General features: G+C 40.8%; 1 protein-coding gene across 1 annotated transcript in view; it reads left to right on the top strand.

Moving 5' to 3' along the window:
• NALF1 (NALCN channel auxiliary factor 1) overlaps positions 1–27,043 on the top strand; it is a 703,987-nt gene that overhangs the window by 643,020 nt on the left and 33,924 nt on the right. The window contains exon 2 of the mRNA NM_001080396.3: positions 13,722–13,893. Within this exon, the coding sequence (NP_001073865.1) occupies positions 13,722–13,893 (172 nt within the window). The remainder of the gene's footprint in view (positions 1–13,721; positions 13,894–27,043) is intronic.

Raw genomic sequence — 27,043 nt, 5'->3', positions numbered from 1 at the left:
ATATGTAATTTGTATTATATTTATATTATATATAATTTGTATTATATTTATATTATATACATAATTCAAAAATGGAGGTATCATTTGTATATACAATGACATATCTTATTGATGAATGTAAACATGCATTCTCAAGACAGAAAATTATTAAAATTAAATGACCAGATTTTATTACATGTTTTGCATCATGATATATGTGCTTTATTAATTTGATTTTTGCATATTTCAGTATTATTCTACATTTTTTGCCAGGCTTTACTCTGAGCATAAAACTGGGTGCTGCCATTTAATTCCAAATATATAATGATCAACTGTCTGCTCCAAAGCTGCACCTTCCAATGTTACCACCAATTTTATTATTAAGGATTGTTAATTCCATTGATTATAGTTTTCAATAATAATGAATAATATTATTCATTAATCAATAATCAACTGATAATCAATAATTAATTAATTAATCAATTAAACAATAATGTTATGATTATTCATAATCCATTATTGTATACTAAAAACATATTTCTGATGGTATGTTTAGCTCAGGATAAAGAAGACATGGGCTAAGATAGGCCCTCTGTTTCTGCCAAAGTAGCAGAGAAAAGTCTTCTTTCCTAGAGTTTTGTGCCCTAAGCACATTTGCAGGGATGGGTTCAAAGACTTGCAGAGTGTGTACTTATATTCTTAACTCTATAAGTAGGAGGATGCTCATTTTTCTCTAAGATACACACAACACACTTAGAGAACAGAAAATGCACTGTATTATACTAACTTCACAGGGGTTAGACCGCAGCAAGTCAATGGAACACAGGGAGCACCCAACGAGAAACTGTCCTTGAAAATGTTTTAGGGAGGAATTCTAAAGTCTTGCCTTTCAACTTAACTGTGTATCTTCATTTGAATTATGGAACCATTGTTCATGAGTGAAATCTATTTTTATGTTCTGAATCTTCCCATTTAAAGACATATGTTTTCTCAGCTTTTAGACAATAACATGATCTAAAATGTCAAAATAATACATTCTGCTGAATCTCAGTATTTACTGAGGAAATACAGAAACATGGCAAAAGTTAGGAAGAAAAATGTTTCCTTTTTCTGCTGTCCACAAAAGTTGGTGGAACATTTATGACTGCAAAAAAAAATGAGTTATTAACACTGTTTTGATTGAATTCAACAGATGCTCTGACTTTCTTATATATATGTGTGTGTATGTATACATATATATTTAACAACTATAAATATTTATATGTAACAACACTTTCACAAGATGCCAATAAATTTAGTATGAGCATTTACATATCTAAATCTTTCTTTGGCTCTAGAAACTGATGCTATGCCAACCAGAACAAAGAAATAGTAGCTTTCACTACTGTCACTGCTAATAAAATTCAGCATCATTACAGCTTATACAAAATTGTACTTATTAGCCCAATTTCTATTGCTTGCCTTAAAAAAATGTATCGGAGAAAATGGATGCCATTAGTTTAGTCTGTAGATTAAACTGATAATAATAATGGCAAAACCTTGATCAAGTAAACAAATCCCACTAAATAGAACAGGAATGTGTTGCTAAGACCAAGGCCATTTGGATTCACCCTGAGCTTGTGTTTAGAGGCATTCTTTCATTCATTCATTCATTCATTCAGGCACTAATGGCTGAGTCATGCCAGAGGCTAGGCCCCTCCTGCGGAGAGTTCACTGCTGCCTAAAGACAGACCAGGTTCTTGCCCTTATGTTAATATTCGGGTCTTGCCTAGTCAGTTATATAAAGTTCATTAAAATTTGCTTACATAATTCAAGCAAGTGCTCAGTTTTAAATGTCTGTGCCACACAATTTGACAATTTACATAATTTATTTCAGTGCTAAAGAAGTTGACAATCGCTGTTTAACTTCAGTCGGGCTTCTCCTAAGCGGGGCGAACACACACAGGACATGCACAAGATAATCTGTTAAAGTATGACAAGAAAATAATAAATTCTACTTGCAGTTATAATTTTATCCTAACCTTTGCAATCACTTGTGCTCTGTGTGTGTTGTATAATGTACACATTATATAACAGTTCATGTGTATATAAATGAATATTTATGTAAGGGAAATATGCTAAAAATCTTAAATGGGTGGAATAACTACTAAAAATGTTTAGCAAGTACAATTAAAACATATACAAGTTAGTGTCACTTCTGTATAATTTAATAGTTAAATAGTTGTTTCTATGGGGAATAGTAAGCCACAGAGAGAAAGAAGGTCTTAAGACCGGGACCAGAAAAATAAGCTTCTTAATTGGAGGCGGCGGTTACTTCTAGTGATAGGCGATTGTTTTTTCCAGATATAATTCTGGCTCCTTCCTAATTAAGATTAGTGTTACTCATGTCACCAATTTGCAGGGTTTCAAGCTTGTGTTAATAAGATCACAAACATTGTGAGCCTTTGCCATCTTTAAAATCTTTCACTCTAAAGCAAAACGCACATAACAGTTGCCGAAGTGCCTTCTTTGAGCTTCTTTGAAAACAGCCGCATTTTCTTTGAGCTATGGAGAGCAGCATAGAACATGTTTGAATCCCCAAAGCTTAACCCCAGAAAAGATATTTCTTGCAAGCCACAAACAACTCTACACTTACAGTATCATGAGTTAATATTTACCTCTGCATAACTGGTATAGAATAAAACACAGTTTGATGTGGGGTGGCGGGGTGTAGGGTAAAATGACCTAAAAGCCCACCCTGTCTCTGTTACATTTTGCTGTGGGACTTTGTCCATATTGCTTACATTCTCTGAGTCTCGGTTTTCATATTCATAAATTAGAATAATATCACTCACATCACAGATACCGTGCATTGAAAACACCTGGCAAAATAACTGATAGTAAATAGTTCTTTTTTATTTTTTTACTTTTTATTTTTTGAGACAGAGTCTCACTCTGTCACCCAGGCTGGAGTGCAATGGTGCAGTCTTGGCTCCCTGCAGTTTCTGACTCCTGAGTTCAAGTGATTCTCCTGCCTCAGCCTCCCAAGTAGCTGGAATTACAGGCATGCACCGCCACGCCCAGCTAATTTTTGTAATTTTTTAGTAGAGACAGAGTTTTGCCAGGTTGGCCAGGCTGGTCTTGAACTCCTGAGCTCAGGTGCTCCACCCACCTCGGCCTCCCAAAGTACTAGGCTTACAGGCATGAGCCACCATGCCTGGCCTTGAATTTTTTAAATTTCAATAGCTTTAGTGGTGCAAGTGGTTTTTGGTCACATGGATGAGTTGTATAATGGTGAAGTCTGTGATTTTAGTGCACCGGTCACCTGAGTAGTGTACATTGTACCCTACAGGTAGTTTTCTATCTCTCACCCCCTTCACAAACTCCCCCATTCTGAGTCTCCACTGTCTGTTGTATCACCCTGTGTACCTTTGCATACCCCATAGGTTAGCTCCCACTTATAAATGAGAATATGCAGTATTTGGTTTTTCATTCCTGAGTTACTTCAATGCAAACTTGCTGCAAAAGAAATTTTGTTCTTTTTTTTATGGCTGACTAGTATTCTATGGTGTTTATATTATATACATTTCATTATCTCCTTCCTTCCCTTGCTGTCTTCCTCCCATGCTCTGCCCTTCCTCCCTCTCTTTCTCATATCAGAAGCACACTAACCTCCACCCCACTCCTCTCTCTGACATGCCCATCTCACTCCCTCACATGCCGTCCTCTTCTCTTCTCCAGAAACCCTCAGCCCCCATTGACTTCTGCTCCCTCCACACGGAGGTGCACTGACGGGAGCATTCACAGTGGGATTCATCTTACCCTGGCTCCTCAAATTTTACAGCACTATTTCTGATGCCAGGGAAAATGTCTTATGATGAAATTTTTAACCTGCCCTACACCTCTGCTCCCCAAGGCACCTATCTACTGTCAGACTCCAAAGTTGGCTCTCAGTGAAAAATGTGGGATTAACAGACAGATTGGATGGTACCTAGGCAGCCAGTCCTCTGTTTCATGGTAACAGGCTACAAGTCTGTATTTCAATTAGAATACTGAAGTGTTCACTCTGACTTTTTAAATATGTAAATTCTAATAGAATCACTGGCATTTTTCTGACAGTAATGCAGACCAGGTTTAAATAGGCAACATGTTTAAAGAACCACGTGACACAATTCTACTCCATTCCCAGGGTGCCGGTTGGCTCTTAATTTACAAAAGGGGTTTGCATTCATACCTTTCCCAGCTTCTCACTAGCAGGACACATTAAGATAATGCAGAAAACAACAAAGATAGTGTGGTGTTAGCTGCTGTTTCTTGAGGAGCAAATGCAATGACAAAATCAGAAATGCTGGCATCTGTGGGAAAAACAAAGAATGCAAAGAGCCTGCTCCACTGAGGAACAGCAGATTTTCTTTGAGCAAAAGCAGATTATTCTTGTTTCAATTATAATTTTTGTGACTGTGACATTGGTAAAGTAGGGTGGCAATCATGCACTCTTGGTACACAAGTGACCTGACAATATGGCCAAGAAGTAAAACTTTTAGATACATACCAAAAGCATTATATATTCTAGTTCTATAATGTGCACAGCTATGTAAAAGTATCAGATTCTTAGATAACTAACTATAGTTTATTATGTCACATTTTCCATCCTTTACTTTGGATTATATGACAAAGTTATGCATTAACTTTCTTCAGACTCTTTTTTTTGCCCATTTCTACTAAGTGAGGCTGTTACAGTAAGTTCCTTTCTCTTTGGTTTTATGAAGAAACGAATACATCTGCATTTTATAGTGAATTTACTGATTACTTATTATAGCTCTACTCAGTGCGTTGGTATTATTGGTATTTTCTAAATAGATTGTAGATTATGGAAGATAACATTCATTTATTAATCATCAAGTGCTCCATGAAATCTTATATGAGTTCTGGAAAAGAAGGAAAGCCTAACACATTCTCTCTTCTCCTATCCTTGGTGAATATATTATCCCTTTATATCCTTAGATTAGTTTCAGATTTCTTATTTAAGACTCAATTCCATTTCCCTTTCTTTAGAAGACTGATTTCCCACTTTTTAAACCCTTTTCAACATTCTCAACTCACTCAAGATGTGGAGCCCAAAATTGAATTTATATTGAAGTGTTCACTTGCTGCCTTTTTAGAGATATAAATTTTAATAGGATCACTGGCACTTTTGTGACAGTCCATACAGGCCAGGTTAAATAAGTGGTATGTTTAGAGGACATGTAATACTCTGCACTTCTAAGGCATTGCTTGTTGGCTGAGAGTCCACAAAAGGTGCTTTCATTTACTACGGGCCCATTCCGACTCTAGATAAGGCTATTGAGTTATATCCATCCACGGCCAACACTCAGAAGTAGTCTTATGGAGTGACTTTCTTCTTTTTTGATGCCCACAGCAGAGCTCCCACCATCTTCGTCACTAACATGATAATCCGGTGAAGGCAGCTTGTTAAAAGAGATCTTCCTTCACACCAAAGGAAACGCTTCCTTATTTACTGTGAAGTTAATTCACTGGTTATTATCATCGTTAATATTCATTTCTGGATATATAATAGAACTGTTCTGGAAAGGTATGAATTAGTATAACCTCTCTGCTCAACACTTTTTGCCACAATCCCAGCCAAAGTAGTGTGTCCGTTTAAATAACAGCTATAAAATATACTTTGCCCTCTGAAGCTCTGTGGCCTTCCATGAGCTCAGAACAATAAACCACACCATTCCCCATCTTTGTGTGACAATCTTTCTCAGCTTGCAACCCAATCCCATATTGTGCTTTAGGACCTGAACCATGGGGTCTTTTTGGAAGGAGAGGTTCACTTCATGAAGTGGACTTTTAAAAATTTATTTCTTTAGTTTTTGTTTGTTTGTTTGTTTTGTTTGTTTTTGTTTTCGGCCTTCAATAACGGCCACTGGGTTGGTCATATGAAAAGGGATTCTTAGGATTTAATATGTTGGGGGCTCATCAGGGTTCCTGGTTTGAGTCTCTGCTCTGGGCAGGATCTCAGGGCCAGGTGGACTGGCTCTCACGCTAACCAATCGCGGGGCATCATTATGCAAGCCCAAAGGCCATGTTACTAGTTTCCAGTGGGCATTCCACTGACGGTAAATTTCTGCCAGATACATCCAGGGCACTGGGGATACAAGAAGGCACAAAGCTTGGCCTTCATTCCAAGAGCATAGGGTCTGGGAAGGAGGCAGACGAGAAGACAGCATCACATGTACTGAACTGCCGAAGAAGAGCTCATTGCAGGGTCTAGAGGGAATGCAGGAAAGGCTTCCAAGTGAGGTCACACAGGATGGACAGGAATTAATAGGCTGAGGGATTCGTGAGGGAGGTGGAAGGAAGAGCCTGGTGCAGAGCCACCGAGGGCACGCTGCACATCGAGTGACCTGCTTGTCACTCCTGTGGCCAGAGAGCAGAGTGCCGGGTGGGAGTGGGCAGAGATGAGTCTCGACTGCTCAGCAGGGCAAGGTCGCAGAGCTGTGAATCGGTTAGGAGCTTTGAACATTCTCCTGGGTGTTGCTGTGGGATGGGGTGGGGTGCTGAATTATTAAAAATGAAGTAGTGGAATAATCTGGAATAATCAAATTAATTTTCTATAGATTGCTCTAACTGCAGCATGAAGCAGGAGTTCACAACTGAAGGCACAAGGGTAGGCTCCACGGGGTATATCCAAGGCAGAAATCCAAGTGAGAGATGCTGATGGCGCGAGCAGCACTGGTGTCAGTAGAAATCAAGAGATTTGGGCAGACATAGAGCTATTGAGGAAGCAGGCTCACAGGGCGTGGTGATTGAAGAGCTGTGGAGCGTGGAAGAGGCACCCGGATGACCCCCAGGTTTCTCACCTGCTTCCCTCCGAAAAGAAGAGGCCGAATTCCACTTTAGAGTTTGTAGTGCTTGAGGTATTGAAACAGAGTGAGAGAGGGAGAGAAAGAGAGAGACAGAGAAAGAGAGAGAGAGATCAGCATTGGTAATGAAGATTTAGGCTTCACTATTTTAAAGACTACAATTGAATCACGAGGATGGACGGTTGCCCAGAAAGAATGTGTAGAAACAAGCTTGGAACAGAAGCCGGAGGGATACTAACATTTTGGGGAATGGCAGGGAAAACAAACAAACAACAGCAACAGCAAACAAATGAAGATGGAGAAGGAGGGGCAGAGGACTAAGAGGGACACCAGGATAAAACAAGTCCCAGTGGCATTTCCGGAAGCTGTTCAATCAACCATGATCAGGGCTGGCAAGAGGTCAAATAAGACAACAACTGATTTTCCAGCTGGATTTGTCAGCAGAGGGGCCAAGGAGCTTGGAAAGAACAATCTCAGTGGAGTGGTTCGAGCTGAGGCCAAATCATAGTGAGATGAAGTGAAAGATAAAACAAGGAAGATATTGACTGTTACATGAGACGTTTATTAATGAGGAAGAGAGAAAAAGAGAAAACTAAGTTGCCTCTGTGTCATAGTTAGGACACGTTTTCCTTTGCATAACGCTGGAGACATATTGACAAATGCTTCTTAGGTTTCCCTTTTTTCCTAAGCCCTGTGCAGATTATCTCTGGATGGGCACATTCTCTATTTGCGAAAGCACAGCCGAGTTGATCTGCTTTTCACCTTCTGTACAATCATATGTCTGGGCAGCTCCGTGGTGCCATACCCTGATTGGCCAACTGGGCTTGCGTTGGCCCTGTGATGTTCAGACTGATTCCCTCTCCTGTATAAATGGAGTCTGGGATGCTGGCGTGGATGGGCACTGCAGGAGCCTCATTTTGGTGTTGAGAATGGTTTGGGTGGACTGGGAAATGTGGGACAGAGCCAACAAGCTCAGGAGGCCCTGAAATGCAAGGGAATAGACCAAGTGTGATGACAGGATTCAAAAAGTGGGTCACCACCAGAAAACAGGAAGACATTTGCGTTTTACTTCAGGAAATGGAGCCAAGACAAAGCCCTAGAAGGCAAGGGGTGCTGATGTCATAAGACCCCCCACAAGGGATCAAGAAGCTCAGAGCGCTGCTTACCGCCCATCCTTAAGCTTACTTCACAGACTCAGCTCAGCCTCAAGCAGTGGGGCCTTTCTTGTTTCCCTTTCAGAATATATCACGATTTCCAATTTCTAGGTGCAATGTGCTTTCACCAGACACTGACACAGACATAGCAGAAAGCAGACATTCAGACATAGGAACGTGAAAATTTATTTTGAGTTTCACCCTCACTTAAAACTGTAGCAACATGCGTTATGCGTCAAAGTGCATTAGCCTGAGGCGGTTGCTGTCGCAGACTAATGCTTACATAACCAATTATTTCACCCACACATACCCAAAACTCAGGCCGCTAGCGGGGTTAGAGCTGGCAGAAATGGATCTAATAAAATGTATCAACAAATGCTACAAATGTGAAAGGAAAGTTAGTCCTTACTAATAAGTGGGGGAAAAGGGAGAGCAGCTGCTTAGCCTCTTGATTTGAAGCTGACAACCATTTTTAATATCTGACATTTTTCTTTGTGATAAAATATATAGCCAACATGATATTTTTTCAGCAGGCTAACATATATTTACATTAGCAATCTTCTACCTTGCTCTAAAATAGAGAGATGGATTTTGGAGATGGGGGTAATATATATTTAAAAAGTAATGAGAAGCTGACCTTCTGCTGGAAAAATATTAATCATAGGGCATTTTTTGAAAGGTTCTGCACAGATTAGCTATCTTCAAATGGAATGCCCAGAACCAAGAGAGGACATGAGGACACCACACAAGCACACCTGCCAGCTGTCTATATGGCACCATTGTTAACCATGGTGATCCTGGTCCCGTGTAGTATTTCTATTCACAAATGCATGGGCTACTTCAGGATTGTCCAGATTTGCATGTAACGCATTTCTTTCTAGAGTTCGTGGCTTCACATCACTCCCCGTAATCAGGAAGCAAAGTACTCCCCCTCGGTCTGTCTCCGGAGGCTGTGCCGTTATAACCAAAGCTTTAAAAAAAAAAAATCTTCATTAAGAGTGTGAAAATGAGTTTGCTAGATGAGCTCTCTTGGGTTCTCCTTGGTCTCTTCAGCCTTTGCTCTCCCTGATCACCTCTTCAAACAGGCCTGTGTGACCAAGGGATTCTCAGCTGAGAATCCAAACACAGGGTAGATGTGGACGTAGGTCTGGAGGTAGAGGGTGGGGGCTCATACAGCCCACTCTGCAGAACTGCAAGTGAGTTTCAAAATGAAGTGACTTGCAAAAAAGAAAAAAAGAAAAAGGATATGTTCGGAATGAATAATACTCAAGTGATACCTTCCGAATAACATGGAGTGTAATTTCAACAGCCGCCCAGGGGCCCTACCTTGCTCAGCTGTCATCTGCATCTTTCTAGACCCCACTTCCGACGTTAACAGAGGCTCAGCTAGGTGGTCTCTAAGGCTTTCCACCCTGGAATGTCTCACCTTAGTGACTCCAGAGACCCCGACGTATCCAATGCTCCCTTCACTTTCTGTCCTCTCAGAAGAGTTCCTGTTACAAGAGTTCCCACTGAAAAAAACTATGGACTGGGCTGTGGAGAGAGTTGAATTCCACTTATTTGATGCCTAATTTCCCTGTATACGTTTCCTTATTTGTAAAACATTTCCCAAACAAGTCTCAAGGGCTTTATGAGGAAAGATAGCAAGAGAGAAAATGCTTCAGGGGAAAAAGAGAAAAATCGATTCAAGTATTAAGTAAAAATGATGCTGTCATTTGGACCATTTTTCTAGTGTAGTCTGCTCCTCTTGCAGACAGCACCTTGAGAACACTGTATGGTGGGCAGCTGTCCAGCAAAGATTGTGACAGTCAATAAGTCATTTCCAGAGGACACAGTGGAGGAGCGTGGGGGCGGTGGGCCATTTGAAATACCCTTTCAGAGCATAATTTCCTGACAAATCAAGCTGCTTCTTGGGTAGATGGAGGCACTGGCCATCAAGGGGAAGAGTGGGTGGATGTCGGCGAGCCATTACTCTGTCACCAGAGACCTCGCACACATTTTTATTCCTTCCCACAGTTATTCTTTCGTTTCATATAATTATTTATACTCTGCAGTGACACATAGAAAAGCAATTTACCTAATATTTCTCTCTATAGGAGAAGGCCAAGCCATTATAAAAAAGATTTCTAGACTTCTTTGTACTCCATAGTTCTTATGAAATAAGACAAATATACTCATTTTTCATGATGTGCTTTTGTTTGAAGTTCTTTATTACTTTTAAGATTTAGTCAATTTGTTCTTCTAGCCCGGTGCCACCACAAAACATCCTTTTCAACCCCTTCCTGCAAAAACTTCTAGAAAGACGTTGGGAAGTGTCTTGGAGCCATGGCCTTCTCTCACCTTCCTAACATAGGAATCTTCCTCATCGTGTTTTGACAAGAGGTATTGAAAGTCTATTGGAATTTTTCTAGCTCTAGAGAACTCGGCACATTTGAAGATAGCTCATTGTATTTCTATGCATCTCTTCTGGCAGGAAAGCTCGTCTTTATATCACGCTGGTAGCTACCTGTTTGTTTTTTCTCTTGTCTTTGTTTTGTGATTCCACAATTTATTGTTTAAATCCATCGTCATTGGCACCTGGCCGTTTCTCAGACACGAGATAACTGTAAGAACCTCACCCCTCGTTTGCTCTTAGCCGCAGTATATTCTCAGGTATTCTCCGTTCTTCACATAACACAGTTTTCAGGTGTTTACTAACGTGCTATTTCACTTTTCAAGTAATCATTTTCAAGATTCTAGAAGAATTTTTGTTTACTTCCCATGCGAACTTTTACCAGTTTATTCTGAAATATTTTTAGCAAATGTGCTGTATGCTTTGCCTCTTTTATTGTAAACACATCTACACAGAGAAGATAAAGACTTTAGTTATGTAACATCTGCTTCTCATCCTTAATCTCTTAAGTAGCAATAAAATATTTCTCCTCCGTCCTTCGGATTTCGATTCAGCTCACATGGTTTCCCCCACTTGTTTTCTGATGTATCTTACCCCTAGAGCTAAAATTTTAGAAAATATTTAATACTCAAATGAGGAATATTCATTGCACACTCAAAGCCCAGGAGGTAGCTCATAACGGATGCCACCGTGGAGCCTGGCCGGAGAGGTCGTCATAGCTCAGTGTATAAGGTCTGGGATTCTGCCGGCGGCTTTGCAAATGATGCTCGATCACTTTTCTTCATAACTAACTACTACCTGATACTTAAAAAAAAATGCTGTGATCTCTTACTAGTTTCTTTTTCTTTTCTTTTTTTTTTTTTTTTTTTTGAGTTAAAAAAAAATCTGCAAAGGAAATATAGCGGAAATAGAATTTAAGGAGCCAGAATAAAAATGGATATGTTCCCATCGGGCAATGCTGAGGAAAGTGGTTGCAAAGAGGATGGCTAGATCTGAAGAGACTCCAATACTGGACGCCCCACCGTCTGCGAGAGAGGAGACGTTGTTTCTTAAGACTTTATGGCTGCAGGATGCGATTCCCTATTCAGAACCCATTTTAACTGGAATAACGGTGGAAAGGCAACGTGTGAGGGAGCGGTGGGAATGGGGACCCCAATTTGGCCAATGAAAACATGAGCCACTTTCTGGCATTACATAGGGCACTCCTTAAAGAAAAACAGGCAACTCTAGACTTTAGAATCCCAGAAATGTGCGGAAAGCAAGCTGTCCTCATAATGGAATGTTATTTTTTGAACTGCAGGTATAAGCCTATCCTGCTTCCTCTAGTACCTGAGAAAGGTTATTAAGCCCAGGAATCAGAGGATACATGGCTCATTCCTATACTACAGCTTAGTTTACATAATAAATGTCATGTCATATTACGTATCATGTCATATTACACAAACGTCAATGTCTATGGCATTTTGACAAACGTTTTCAACTTCCCCATGGTTTGGTTAAGAAATCATTTCACTTTTTCTTCTGAAGCTGGTGCTTCCAGCCTCTTGCTGCCGGCACCACCTCCACCTTCACCTGTCCCCCTGAGGCAGCCTCTTGCTGTCCTCCTGGGGCACACAGCCACAGCCCACCTCCGTTTCCCAGTTGGCATAAGAATTCTTAGAGGTTTCTTCGGCTATTGTAACGTTTTCTTCTAGTGCAGTTTTTCAGTGTACACTGTTACGAGAAGACTCATTCAAAAGACCTATAAGAATTCTAATTATTTGTAGGTTTTACTAACAAGTTACATGGTGATTGTGAGCCATTGATGACTGGCAAAGAAAAATTACTTTTGGCCATTTAAAAGTGTATCTCACTTTGATATTTATCTCATTTTACCTCTACCAAGTCACCTTGATCACAGAATAAAGCGTCATTTTGATCAACCTAATGTTATGAATAAAAAAATACAATCCTCCTTCTACCAAATAGATATTGACCCGGGGCATGGAAGGCCATGCTGATTTTAGGTTCATCTGCAAACTCCCTTGTGATTTCATAAGTGCTTTAAAAGTAGTTTTCAGATTAAATATAGGATAACTATTAGGAACACAGTCTTTGGAGCCCTACAGAACATGGGTTTGAAGTCTGGATTTTCCATTTCCATTACCTAATAGTACTATTACTTAATATTATTCCTGTTCAAAATGTGAGTAATAGTTATGGTCAAAAGTGCATGCTGAGAATCACATGGAAAAAAAAGTTTACAGCTTACTTAGAAAAGAGTATAAAGTTGATAAATACCAGCTATTATTCTTGTTATTATTAGGTATTTATAATCTCTTAGGCTACCTTTAACTGCTGCGCCTCCATTTTTCTAGGTAAAATATAACCGGCAAAATGTTACTTGGATAATATTAACCCTAGAAATAGATAAGTAAAAGCCATTAGTGCCAAGGACCTGGAGAATAACTGAATTTCAGTAACCTGTACTGCAAATTGGTACATCTGCCATTGTTGTATTTGAATTTAAGATCAGCTTATTCCTTCGTGTCAGAAAAAGGCAATTTTTTCAATGTTTGTTTTCCCAAATAGCCACCAAAACAAAGAGATGAATGAAGTCCCAGTCCTTTCACATTTGATGAAATTACATAAATACGTAGCAAACATTGATGTGGCTTGCACATCATCCAGAAGGTTGAAGCTGTGGCTCTGATGAGGCTTCCCTCCTACTCCCAACCACACCACAGCATATGATGTCTGCTCTATGTCGGGTGTTTCTGGGCTTTCAGACAGTGAGATTTTTAATGCATTTGGTGTGAGTCATGAATGTAAATGTCCATATCTGCCTGTTCTCTGCCTCTCAAAGTCCAAGATCTAAACAGCAGTTTCCCAACCCCTGCTGGGCCATCTTTATAAAGTGCTTCGCGCCATCTAGCGTCCTATGGAGGCATAGACGTGGGACTCCGTGTGGAGGGAACTGGCTCATCAGCCACGTTGCAAGTAACTACAGCACAGAAGAGCAATAGAGTCAATTATTTATTTTACTTTAGATATCGCTGAATTTTGAAAAATTAACTTCCTGCTTAAATCCACTGATTTTCAAATAAGCCACATAAAATTAAAGGTCAAAATACCTTTTACATTCTATTAGGGATGCAATCAAATACTGTTTTGCTTTTATTGCGGAGACTTTCGTTGCTGTGTTTTTATCACTTGCAGCTGTCGTTGTGTAAATACGCTTTCTCACAATGAGGGCTCTCTTAGGATCCACTTGAAACCACAGCACGCTTGCACGCTTCTCACAGTGCCTCTATCACTGTAACTGTTGTCACGCCTCTATATTTTTCATTCTTCTCTTTTTTTCAGATTGTCTACAAAGCCTGGCTCTGTTCCCAGTATTTTGAAGTCACACAGTTTAACTGCAGAAAGACAATTCCTTGCAAGCAATACTGTTTGGAGGTTCAGACGAGGTGTCCATTTATATTGCCCGACAATGATGAAGTCATCTACGGAGGCCTCTCCAGTTTCATCTGTACAGGTACAGTGCCGGGTGGGAGTCTGTACACCAGTCTCCGGTGGTTTTGCTTTCTTGTGTGATGTTTGTTTGCTTTGCTGTTTCCTTTCACTGATATAACCTTGAAGATGCGGCTGGTAGTTTTCCGCACTTTCACTAATAGAAGCACCGAAAGCTCCCCTCAACAGGTCTGGAAATGATTCAGCTTCTGTACCACATGGTCTATCTGTAACTGAGACCACAGTTATTCACTGTGTGAAAGAAGAAATCTGATGGCAAAATATTAGCAATCATTAGATATACTTACATGTGACCTAGTATAGGTTAGATTCAGCCTGCATTGCCTTTGAATTCCATAAGAACAGGAGATGTGCTAAGGCCAGTGAAATAATGCTTTTCAAATTAGTCAGAAGTTTATGTTCTCTTGCCTATTTTCTTTTATTTTATTTTCTGAGAATTTTTATGTTACTTTATCTGTAAAAAGTATTAAGAGCATTAAAAATATCTGCCTAAATTGTACGTGTGTGTGTGTGTGTGTCTATTAGAGCCACACAACAAGTCTATCCATTAAACGATGTTTACTTCTTTCAGCAAATGAGTCAGACTGGGCAAAACACCAATATCAGCACTCCTTTTCTGGATATTTATAAGCATTACATAATTTAGACAGAATAAGATATAAAGAGCAAGAGCCTTTTTTTAAAAAATAAAAAGATAATTAAATGGTGAGAACAAGATACTTTGCCAGGGTGGTGTGATAATCCGAGTGGTGGCTCTGCATTCTCTTCTATAACAATAATGCTATAAGGCGTCCCTGGAATTACGTGGCTCAAGCTGTAGCACGTTTTGTTTTCAAGTGTAAGGATAAAACACCATCATATGTGTAGAGACACATGAAAATGCTCTTCTGACATTAGACTTGCCAAACTCCTCTAAAACAGAGTAGCATATTAAGATGCTCAACATGAGAATTTATCAAATTATTTCAGCATCGCTTATTTACATACGTATTCATTAGCCACAGTGTTCTAAGTGATAAGCTATCAAGAGATAGTCTGCCAAAGCTCGCCCTAAGAACTGGATGAGTATTTCTTTCTTTTTTTTTTTTTGAGATGGAGTCTCGCTCTGTGTCACCCAGGCTGGTGTGATCTCGGCTCACTTTAAGCTCCGCCTCCGGGGTTCAAGTGATTCTCATGCCTCAGCCTCCCGAGTAGCTGAGATTACAGGCGTGCACCACCACACCTGGCTAATTTTTGTATTTTTAGTAGAGACGGTGTTTCACCGTGTTGGCCAGGCTGGTCTCCAACTCCTGACCTCAAGTGATCCACCCTCCTTGGCCTCCCAAAAGTGTTGGAATTACAGGCGTGAGCCACTGTGCCCAGCCTGGATTAGTATTTCTTATGCTGCCCAAGCTTGTGGAAAGAACACGTGACTGAAGGTCAGGAGCATTGGCCTTCATCCTGTTTCTATTGTACATTCTCTCAGAGGCACCACCCCTTCACTAGTAAATTAGAAAGTGCAATGGCCAAACCCTCCCCCATGTGGATATGCTGCAAGGATTACAGATAAGAGAGAAGGGCAAGTTATGTCATTGACCAGCCATAGCCGTTGCACACGAGAAAGTGAAATGCAGAATGATTTCACAGGCCTGTGTGTTATTCTACTGACTTGATGCTCAAGTCATTTTTTATGTAGCTCCTCTCTGCTGGAGGGGGAGGAGGGGGAGGAAGGAGGGAAGAGGGAAAGAAGGAATAAGGGAAGGAGGGAAGGAGGATATCAATATCTTCTTGCTTTGAGTTTGAGACAAAATTCACCAGACACAGGCTATTAATTCATATTGAATTTTGCATACAACATTCCACAAATAACCATGAAGATAAGGCCTTCATTTTTTTTTTCTTGTGGGACAATGAGGTGTCTGTGACATGAGGACTTCAGAGAAGCTATTCGATTTTTATGTACAGGTTGTGTTTATGCATTTACACTCACATTGGCTTTTGTCCTAGAGAAGAACAATAGTTTTTGAACCAAGTTCTCAAAGTAGACAAAAAACCCAAATGAAGGGCGAGGTGTTTGCGTTTATCTTCTTTTTCCTACATGTATCTGTATTTGTGAATCTGAAATATATGTTTGAATGTTCACCCACTTCCTCCATACACATTCAGAATGCCAGGGTAGAATTAAATCTCTCACTTCACAACATGGGCAGAGAATCCAGTCTGCAGTTTTAATTGTTTTCGAGTTTGGTAAAAACAGCTTCTTCATAGACATAGCTACGTCATTAAGGAAAAGTGGCAGGAAAAGAGAGATTTATCAGATCCAGAGAAAAGTGCCATCTCCGTGAGAGGCCCCCTAGGATAATCTCATCACTGAACATTTGGAAACCTAAGAACAGTAGTTCTTATGTCACTTTCAGTTGGGTTAATGTTCATTTTATGTTTAAATTGCTCGAAAATATATGGAATAAATTCTGAGGTTATTTCACCCTGAAGTTCTGTAAAACAATCTGACAGAAAAAGATAATAATTTTCATATTGATCTTCTTTTCTAAGGTGTGACCTGTGCCTCTTTGAAGAATTCTCATTCATGTTGATAACTAGCAGCCATCATTTCCCATCATCGGTTACAGGTGTCCCTTAAGAGTGCACTGCTGAGGCCAGATGCAGTGGCTCATGCCTGTAATCCACACAATTTTGGTAGGCTGAGATAGGAGAATTGCTTGAAGCCAGGGGTTTGAGGACAGTCTGGACAACGTAGCAAGACCCTGCCTCTACAAAAAATTAAAAATAAAAGAACTAGCCAGACACAGTTATGTGCACCTGTAGTCGCAGCTATTTGGAAGGCAGAGACAGGATTGCTTGAGCTCAGGTGCTGGAGATTGCAGTGAGCTGTGATCCTGCCACTGCACTCCAGCCTGGGCAGCATAGCGAGACCCTGTCTCAAATGAAAAAGAAAATGAAAGAGTGCACTGCTGGACCTGAGCAAGGAGATTTCTACTCCTGTCCATCACAGCTGCCTGCCCGTTGCTTATAAGAGTCCCAGACATGGGCCCCAGAATGGGTTTCATCTTGGATGATGTTAGAATAGAGGACAGCTCCCAGAGGACCACTGGCTAAACTGTGGAGTGGCTTGTCATGCGTCTAAGGAAACTAGTAAGACATATGTGCATATAATTTGTTCCCAGATTTTAAGTTGCACATTTTTGGATGTCCGTCTCCTACAAATGTACACGGATTTTTAAATAGTTTACATTATAAATAAGTTTGCAAGTAAATGTGAGCCATTTACATTCTGTTTTTTTTCTCTGAAAACAGAATAATAAAAAGACCAGTGTAGTTATAGCATCATTTAATCTCATACAAAATATTTTAATAAATATATCAAAGTTTAAGGGAAAAAAGAAATGGGAAGGGAGATGGTATGCCCAGAATAAAATAAAAAAATGAGAGTAGGTTATGAAACCAAGTAAAATGCAGTAACTTCATCAAAAAGAATTCACCAAGTAAGGTGACCTTCCTCTTGCCTCCAGCAATTTTTCTTTTTGAAAAAAATCATCAAGCATTTGATTTCCACTCTAGATGTTAAAATGCAATCATTTCTCACTAAGAATTAAAGGAATAGGTGGAGTTTCCTTCAAATTCAACAGATTTAATTATAATGGTTTTCCTACTATTTGAACTGCATCCAATTCACAGCTTCCAGAAGGACGGAGAATTCCCTCTAGGATATCGAGGATTCTTCACTTACTTTTCTTATTGACCTCAAAAAAAAGTATTCTGTAAGCACGTAACTGCACATGGCCTGATGACAGATACTGTCCATGTGAGCATCAGTTTTCTTCAAGGTGCTTCTCCTTAGTGACAAACCAGTGGCATGGTGATTCCTTTTCTTAGCGTTCTCTGTACCCAGAATCTTAGAGATCTCAAGTTCTTCCTGTCATTGTCCTATTGGCTATATACTGATACCTAGGATTCCTATTATTCACAAAAAAGGGAATATCACCCCTTGGAATCAATGAACAATTTCTGTAAATGATCAGGAGTTATTTACCATTTTGGTCACACTTACTAAATTCAGTATCTCGTGCATCATTTCTTTATGGTGCTCACATCACCATGTACCAAATTTGAAAGTTTTAAATGTATATATTTTTGATCATCTGCTACCTATGATCCTTTAGTAAGCCAGGAACTTACTTTAAAAAATGAAATATCTGAGAATGCATGTCCATTACTATAGAATGCTTTTGATTGAGGATGTTACAGAAGGTCATGACCAAATGTTCTAACCACGGATCTTGATGACAAGCGCATCCCCGTGCATATGTTTAATTCCAATTCTGTCTTAGGAGATAAAAGGAAAGACACTTTGCCTGAGATTTCTCTTGAATTTTTTTCTATTAAAGAATAAAACTGACACGTGACTAAAGAAATGTTTTAAAAATTAATTGGAAAGAAATTCTGAGGTGCTGTCAGGGTGAAACATGTCATTTAATGTTAGGCATTATTGAGCTAAAATTTGTCAAGGTGGGTTCTGTTGGGTTTGCAAGCTCAGTTCGCATAATGCAGTGCTATTTTAGAAACTCAGTTGCTTCATCTTTAAAGTGAGGGGGTGGAAGTCGTTTTTGGATTCTACGATGTCAACCCGTCATCGTGGTAATTACGTGGGCTTCCCTCTCCACACTCCCTCGCCTCATTCCAGAGTCCCCTGGAGAAATCCTTGATTGCTTACCTTTAACAGTGAACCAAGCTGAAGAAAACAGAGGCAGCAGAGGAGCACAGGCTGTGGGTGCTATGGTAACAAACATTAAGAAAATTATCATTTGATTGATAGATAAAATAGACCAGCCATGATTTACTGCTCTCTTACAGAGGGAAATTATTGAAGGAATAAAAGTAAAAGTTGGTCTGCTGGGGGTTACTGACAATGGAGATAAAACATATTTTAAGAATTCTATGTAAATTCTGCATTCCATTTTTTTTCTTTTTCTTTCTTTTTGAGCTGTGACAGGAATAAGGTTATGTTTCTGTCTCTGGGGAAAATACTGTGGGCTGCTGTTGTTCCTTACTTGACAGGCGGTTGAGGCTGCAATGGGAGATGGGCGCCCCCTGGTGGCGACTCTGCGCGCCTGCAGAGAGTCTGAAAGGACGTTCACTGCCTGCAGGCAACGGAAGGGAATAACCTGAGGGGAGGAAATGCATTGATCTACATATTGATCACATTCGAAGGATTTTTTTTTTAAATGTTTGGCATCTCACGGTTTACTTGTGAGTGACTTCACAACTGCAAAAGAAAAAACATTTGCAAAAATCCAGTCCTCACATGACCAGTGAGTTGAGAAAGATTTTTAAAAGACAAAGATGTTCTCATAGGTGGGAATTGAACAATGAGATCACATGGACACAGGAAGGGGAACATCACACTCTGGGGACTGTTGTGGGGTGGGGGGAAAGGGGGAGGGATAGCATTGGGAGATATACCTAATGCTAGATGACGAGTTAGTGGGTGCAGCTCCACCAGCGTGGCACATGTATACATATGTAACTAACCTGCACAATGTGCACATGTACCCTAAAACTTAAAGTATAATAATAAAAGAAAAAAAAAAGATGTTCTCATTAGAGGAAAATTTCAGTAGAAAAAAAAAATACCTCTATAGATTTTAATTTGAACATTTATGCCGTTTCAATTTATTTATTTTCCCCTGCGTATGCGTATGTTCATTTAATTTTTTAAAATCAGGTTTTTTTTTCTCTGAAAACAGAATAATAAAAAGACCAGTGTAGTTATAGCATCATTTAATCTCATACAAAATATTTTAATAAATATGTCAAAGTTTAAGGCAAAAAAGAAACGGGAAGGGAGATGGTATGCCCAGAATAAAATTTAAAAAATGAGAGTAGATTATAAAACCAAGTAAAATGTAGTAACTTCATATGTTCGTGACATCTTCTTCCATTAAAACATTGTACTTTTTGAGGTTTATTTCAGTTAATATCTTTAGGTTTGAGTTCAGATCATTCCTACTTAAGATTACTTTTTCTGAATTCTATATTCATAAAGATCCCAGCAGGTCAAGTTTGCCTTTGGCAAGAGAATGTATGTAGGGAATAGAGGAGGAATTAGGATGTCTGGATTCTGCCAGTAGCTATGAATTTTGGAAAATCGCCCCCACTGTAAGGTCTCATTGCCTCACCTCCACAAGTGGCTAAGAGTACTGAGCCCAGTGCCAGAACACAGTGCCCAGGCCTGCTGACAGCAGAGGCCCGAGCTAGATGGGACCCCATGTAGTCCAGCCTGGTGGTGCTTGCGGAGCGGCAGGCGCAGCTGCAGAGGAGAATGAGGTTTTACGCTTGTCTGTGTGGGGAGAGGAAGACAACCTGCCTCCAGCTCACCTGGGTGACACTTGTTGGAGAGCAGGGAGAGCTTGTGGGCGCCCCTCTCTGCCTCCAGCTCACCTGGGTGATGCTCGTTGGAGAGCAGGGAGAGCTTGTGGGCGCCCCTCTCTGCCTCCAGCTCACCTGGAGAGCAGGGAGAGCTTGTGGGCGCCCCTCTCTGCCTCCAGCTCACCTGGAGAGCAGGGAGAGCTTGTGGGCGCCCCTCTCTGCCTCCAGCTCACCTGGGTGACACTTGTTGGAGAGCAGGGAGAGCTCTGCCTCCCTCTGCCCCCCTCTGCCTCCAGGCATGCTGACAACTGGGCAGGCCCTGCATGAGCTTGCTCACCTCGACAGCCTTTGGGGAAAATTCTAACGTAGTTCAAGTTATCCTTCTGCTTCTCATTGCTACACCTTGCCTGGTCTAAGAGGAGAAATGAAATGCATCAGACCAGGGAGAGTGGAGAAAACCAAGCCAGGAGCACTTGCAGGGACGGGAGTTCAATCAGCCCTGAGAAGTGTCTGTGCTTCAGTGGTGGGTCCTGAGCCAGCTGCCCCAGGGAACCACTGAGGGCCCAGCCTGAGCCATGTCAGGGCCCATCACGATGTCAGGGGGCACCACGGGGATGGAGCACAGCACCTGATGGCTGTCCTTTTTGATGCCATTGAGGGAAGATGTCACTCGCTGACCTTGCACAGAAGTGACACCGTGTCTGGCAAATATTTTCAGGCCCTCTGAACCCTCTGGAAGGAAAGTCACCCTTTGCTCAAGCCAGACTATGCGCACTGCCCTCAGAGAGGCAGTGCCAGCGCCTGCACTGCTGAGCTGGTGAGTCTCTTCTTAGATGGAAGCTGAATCAAAGCATGTAGTGATCTCCTCTACAGCCAGGAGGCGATAACACACACCCGTGACAAAGGTTTCCCTGCATTCAACGTGACTGAGTGAACTTAGAACTACTGACCACACAGTGGCTGTCAAAGCGGGAAGCCAAAGGAAAGATTTGAATTCTGGAATGTCAGTTTAGGAAGAATATGGCCAAGTGAGATTTCCCAGAACAGGTGAAATCTTATTCAATGAGAGTATTTACCTATCTTGTCTGCAAGTAAGACATCTTTGTGAAGATGTGAAGAATTCGCGAATTCTTTGTAAGAATTTATGCCCACTTGGTAGCTGTTCTGGATACTGGACTAATTTGAACAATGAAATTATCCTGTGCAATTATAGATTCAGTCAATCTTAGACAAACCAAAATTACTGAAGTCATCTAGTTTGATGCCTTGAGGATTAACCACTCCCTCAAAACAAGCAATTGCAGAAACAAGAATAGCTCCACATTTCCTGGCTCTTAGTCCAGCATTTGTAGTGGAACAGGAAACGACCAGCCAGCCCATCCTGAAATTCATGTGTAAGCCATTGTTTCCTTGCTATGTACAGCTGGAAAAAGTCAGTCAGTAGGTTAACGGAAGGTGATCACGCCCACAGCCTGCTGTCTTTGCATTGCAAATCTCATTGTTCAACAAACATGTCCTGATTTCTCAACATCACACGTCACATTAAAAATGAATGTTACAAGCACTTTGGAACATAGACATTTTTCTGGTTAAATAAAGAAAAGAAGACTGTCTAGGTCATTGTTCTCAGGAAAATTTTTTGCTTAGATGGCTAATTTTGTCAGATTGGTTAGTGAGATTCTTAGGATGAATACACACACACACAAATAAATTAGTATAAAGGGTAAGAACAGAGCTAAAGTTTCTAAAATGTCTGTGTGAATATTATTATGAATCCAAATCACCTTATCCTTGTGTTATAGCTATTTTATAATATATAATAGATTGTATATATAATATATAATATCTATACCATATCAACATATATTTATATAATTTATACATCATTCAAATATCCAATTTATATATAGATACAATCAAAATAGCTAAATTTCCAGATAATGTAGGTAATAAGTAAGAAATACCTTAGGTTTAAAAACTGAAGACCAATTTGTAAGCAGAACTTTAAAATTAGTTTTAAAGTTAATTCCAAATTAAAAAAAGAAAGAGTGAATTTAATTTAGGCATAGCAGCACTGATGGAATAAATGTGTAAATTCTCCAAGAAGAAAACTTGAAAATAAAAAGTTCAGTTAGGAATAAAACTTCTAGAATGCTATTTTAAGATGATGGTTCTCCGGTTATTATGTTATCATCTGACACTACTGGTTCAGTCCTAAATATGGTATGTTGTACCTTTATTAACCAATTTATGGGGTCAAAAGAGTGACGAACCCAGGCATAGAGAGTCTGAAAATGCCGACCTCGCCACCGAAACTCACTCCTGCCAGAAAGTAAGGCTCATGGCAACCTTCACTAATAGCTCCTCCTTTACGGAATATGTCATTACCTGAGGGAGTGAGGGAGATGTCTTTTTGGGCTTGTCTTAGGGACATTTGCCATGTTTTAGTCTTTTTTTGTGTGTAAGTGGGCTGAGAAAGCCCCAGGAAGTCCACCTTCAAGTACGCGGGAACAAACATTGCAAGGGAAATGAAAATAATTTCAATCACAAGGGAAATAATTGTCCCAAGATAGGACCTGTTGCTCGCTGCATAGTAAATTCTTCTCATAGAGGTCATTTTTTTTTCTTTCTTTTTTTCCTTTTTTGAGACAGAATTTCGCTCTGTCACCCAGGCTGGAGTGCAGTGGCACGATCTCGACTCACTGGAAGCTCCCCCTCGCGGGTTCACACCATTCTCCTGCCTCAGCCTCCCGAGTAGCTGGGACTACAGGCGCCCGCCACCACGTCCGGCTGGTTTTTTGGTATTTTTAGTAGAGATGGCATTTCGCCGTGTTAGCCAGGCTGGTCTCGATCTCCTGACCTCGTGATCTGCCCACCTGGGCCTCCCCAGAGGGAATTTTAAGATGTAGCATTTCATTGTGAACTGTGAAGAGCTAGAGAAACTTCCTTCTGATCTCTTCCAAGGCCTATGATATGTGCCTATACATTGAGAGATATCTATCAACTTATCAACTTATGGATGGGTAGATAGATAGATAGATAGATAGATAGATGATAGATAGATAGATAGATAGATATCAACGTACATGCACATATCATAGACCTTGGAAGGGATCACATGGAAAGGCCAGTTTTTGAGAACTGGAGACAAAAGCCAAAATAGTTCTCAGTCGCCATCTCTTCATTGCAGTGGCGTGTCTGCCGATGTGGTAAATAGGCAATTTCACTGGATGAGTGTTCATTTTCACTCGGTCCCCCTGGCCCCGCAGCTCCAGGGTCCTTAAGGTTCAACCTCAGAGTTACGTCTGATGCCACCAATGAGTAGGAACAGGTCCTGTGGCCGCACTAAAGTCACCGGGACTACAGCAGTTGATATTACATACTTTCGAAATATTGAAATAAAGTGTGCATGCTTATGTTTGAATTGATAAGTGGTGCTCATGACACAACATCCAAAAGACCCAAAACAGGCAAGATCAAGTCACCTCCTCCAGCCAACTGGCGACTGATGTCATGGGTTACAGACTTGTTATTGTTTATTTACTCAGTTTACTCAGTTCCTGACTAATGGCCATTTGAGTTATTCCTAGCCATCTGTTATTAAATGCAGTTCTGCAAGGCATATTTTTGTTGCTGTATCATTTACCACAGCTTATGAATTTTACTGTAAAATAAATGTCTACCAAGAAGTAGAGACGGATGAAAGAGTCTGTGCATTCATCGTGTGGGAGATGCTTGCCATGTAACCCATTTTTGGCACAGATCATGCCCCTCGCTCGAAGTCCTAATTCCCTTAGGAGAGTCTGCAAGCTCCTTAACCTGGCTTGATTTGACCTGTTTCCCACCGCCCCCCGAGCTCATTCATCATCACTTCCTCTTTGGGACCCAACACCCCAGATATAGCCACCCAGCATGTGAAGCCCCACTGCCTGGGATGCCCGTCTGTCAAAGCTTCCTCTGGCTAATCCTGAAGTAACTGTGGCTCCCAGGAGGAGGTCCTCCCTGACCCCCAAGGGGGAGTTTAGAGCAAGTGTGCCCAGAGCACCCTGTGCTTCTGCTGCTGTGGTGCTCACTGGGCTGCATTTTAATCACAGGACACTTTCCTCTCTCCTTCTCGTTTTGGTGAGTTGGGTTAAGGTAAGAACTTATGTCCTCTGGTGTGTCCACAGGACACCAAAAAAGTGCCAGACACATTGTTTGTGTTCAATAAGCAAACATTGGATGAGTTCATTAGTGAGTAGCAACTCCGTCCTTTGAGCAAGAAGAAGCTCTGTGGTGGGAGGTGTCACTCAGGACAAGCAGCGAAGGTCAGCCATGCTCTGCACAGCCTGCAATGCTCCCGCCCACGGGTGTCTGTGGCAATGCTGTGAAGGGGCAAGGGGGCTGATGGTTGGATGCACTTTAACAAAGTGTCCTCCATTGGGAGTCAGAAAGAAGCATCTCAGTATTTCATGTCAAAGCTGTTTTTTGTCCTTGTATCCCACCCTCCTGTCAATGCAGTATGGAGGCTTCTGCTGAATGGAGTTCACACCGCCGCCACACACCTCCGCTACCTGGAATGCTGGAACTTAAAACAAAGGCTGAAAAGTGATGTGGCATCTAAGCTTATGGAACTTACATTTTGAATAGGTACCCCAAACTCAGTGTCATGTGTTCAATTGTATCCCCTGTTCTCCAAATTCAGATGTTGACATCCTAACCCCCAGCACCCCAGAATGTGACCGTATATGGAAATAACTTGGTTATGGAGCTCTTCAAGTTAAAATGGGTCATTAGGATGAGCCCTAGTCCAATGTAATTAGTGTATGTGTTAGTCCACTAGGGCTGCCGTGACAAAATACCACATGCTACAGGGCTTCAGCAACAAAAATGAATTTTCTCGCCCTTCTGAAGACTAGACATCTGAGATCAAGGTTTTGTTTCTTCTGAGGCCTCTCTCCTTGGCCTGTAGACACTGCCTTCTCGCTGTGTCTTCACATGGTCTTGCCTCCATGCCAGCACATCTTTAGGGTCTCTCTGTGTGTCCAAATTTCCTCTCTGTGTCCAATAATGACATCTGTCCTATTGAACTAGGACCCACCCTAAAAGCCTCATGGCACCCCAATAATGACATCTGTCCTATTGAACTAGGACCCACCCTAAAAGCCTCATGGCACCCCAATAATGACATCTGTCCTATTGAACTAGGACCCACCCTAAAAGCCTCATGGCACCCCTTTGAAGGCCTTACACACACATATTGTGAAATACATTTACATGTTAGCGTACTGGGAGTTAGGGCCTCAACAGGTACGTTTTTGGAGTATGCAATTCTTCCCATAACAGCGTATAAAAAGGGGAAATTTGGATATAGACACATAGAGATAAAACAATGTGAATAGATGTAGGAAGAAGATGATCGTCTACAAGCCAAGAAGAAAGGCCCATACCAGAGCTTTCCTGAAAACCCCCCGGAAGGAGCCAACCCTGCCAACACATTGATTTTGGACATCTAGCCCCAGAAATGAGAGAAGCTGAATTGTGTTGTTTAAGCCCCCTAGTATGTGGGATTTTGTGATGACTCCCCTAGCAGAGGAATACGCTGAGCAATGCCTTTAAGTTTTGGAGTAAAACAGACATATTCAATGTTATTTGTTCAAGCAAAGAACAAATTCCAACTCTTGTATGAAGGCGAATTCTGCATGCTTCAGAAGTTCTGGAGGATTAGAGGACAGGAAGAAATAAAAAGGAATTACAAAGGCATCGAGGGAGCTCAGCCAGCAGGATTTAGAGGATGATAATTACGCAGAGAGTAGTAACGAAGAAAGGGTATTAACATTGCAGATAGTCTTTAATTGTAAAGTAAAATTATTTTTGTAAATTTTATGAATCTCCTTTTGAAGGAATTTAGAAGCACAATCAATTTGCAATGCTGCTGTGTGTGCTATGTCCCATTAATCATGGTTTAATAATTGGAAGACTTTAGACCTAAATCTGAAAACCCATCAGCTCAGGAAACTGCAGTTAGGGAATTTTTCCTCTGAAAAATCAAGCCACTCTCTGTAGTTTCTGCTCAATATTGCTGAAAATTTAAAACTGCACTAAAAATTAAACCTATTTAAAAAGAAAAAGAAAGAGTAAGAAAATCTCAAAACTAGCCAGATAAACTTTCTATCTCTAGGAAAATTTTCTTCCATTTGAAAGTATATTTGTTCTGTCATTCCCAGCCTTATTTTATGGGTTCATATTTAAGGTTCTGAAAGGAAATATAGACTAATACTTTTATATAACTGTTTTATTTAATTTCTGGACAGCTTTCAAATTCTCAGCCTTAATCCTTACCAGGAAAATTGGTTTCTATCTCCCTTCATTTCCGTCATTATTTCCACAAAGGGATGAATAACATTTTAAAGGATATAAAAATTTCCATGAGGAAACTTCAAATTTATTAAAAAATCAAGAGCTCCATCAATTTGCGCACACACACAAAAGCAAGTGTGGACAAATGATTAAAGAAATTCCTCACGTAAAATCACAGAGCTGTAGAGCTGGAAGGGGCCAAGCTGCTGCCCCACTCCAGCAGGTGAGTGCCATGTTGTTTACTGTGGACTGCTAGCCTCAGCCTGAAGGGAGAATGCAGACACGAGAGTGGATGCAGTGAACGGCTAGGAACATCAGCCACACATGAAGAAGCAGGCAGGGACTTTCTTGGTCATATTTGTCTAACACGGTAGCTCAACAATTAAATTTAGCAAATAAATAAATTTGAAGAATAGAGAAATTCAGTAGCTTTCCCAAGTTCACAGGAA

This window comes from Homo sapiens, chromosome 13 (assembly GCF_000001405.40).
Source record: "Homo sapiens chromosome 13, GRCh38.p14 Primary Assembly".
Lineage (NCBI taxonomy): Eukaryota > Metazoa > Chordata > Mammalia > Primates > Hominidae > Homo > Homo sapiens.
This window is presented reverse-complemented; position numbering and strand designations above follow the sequence as displayed.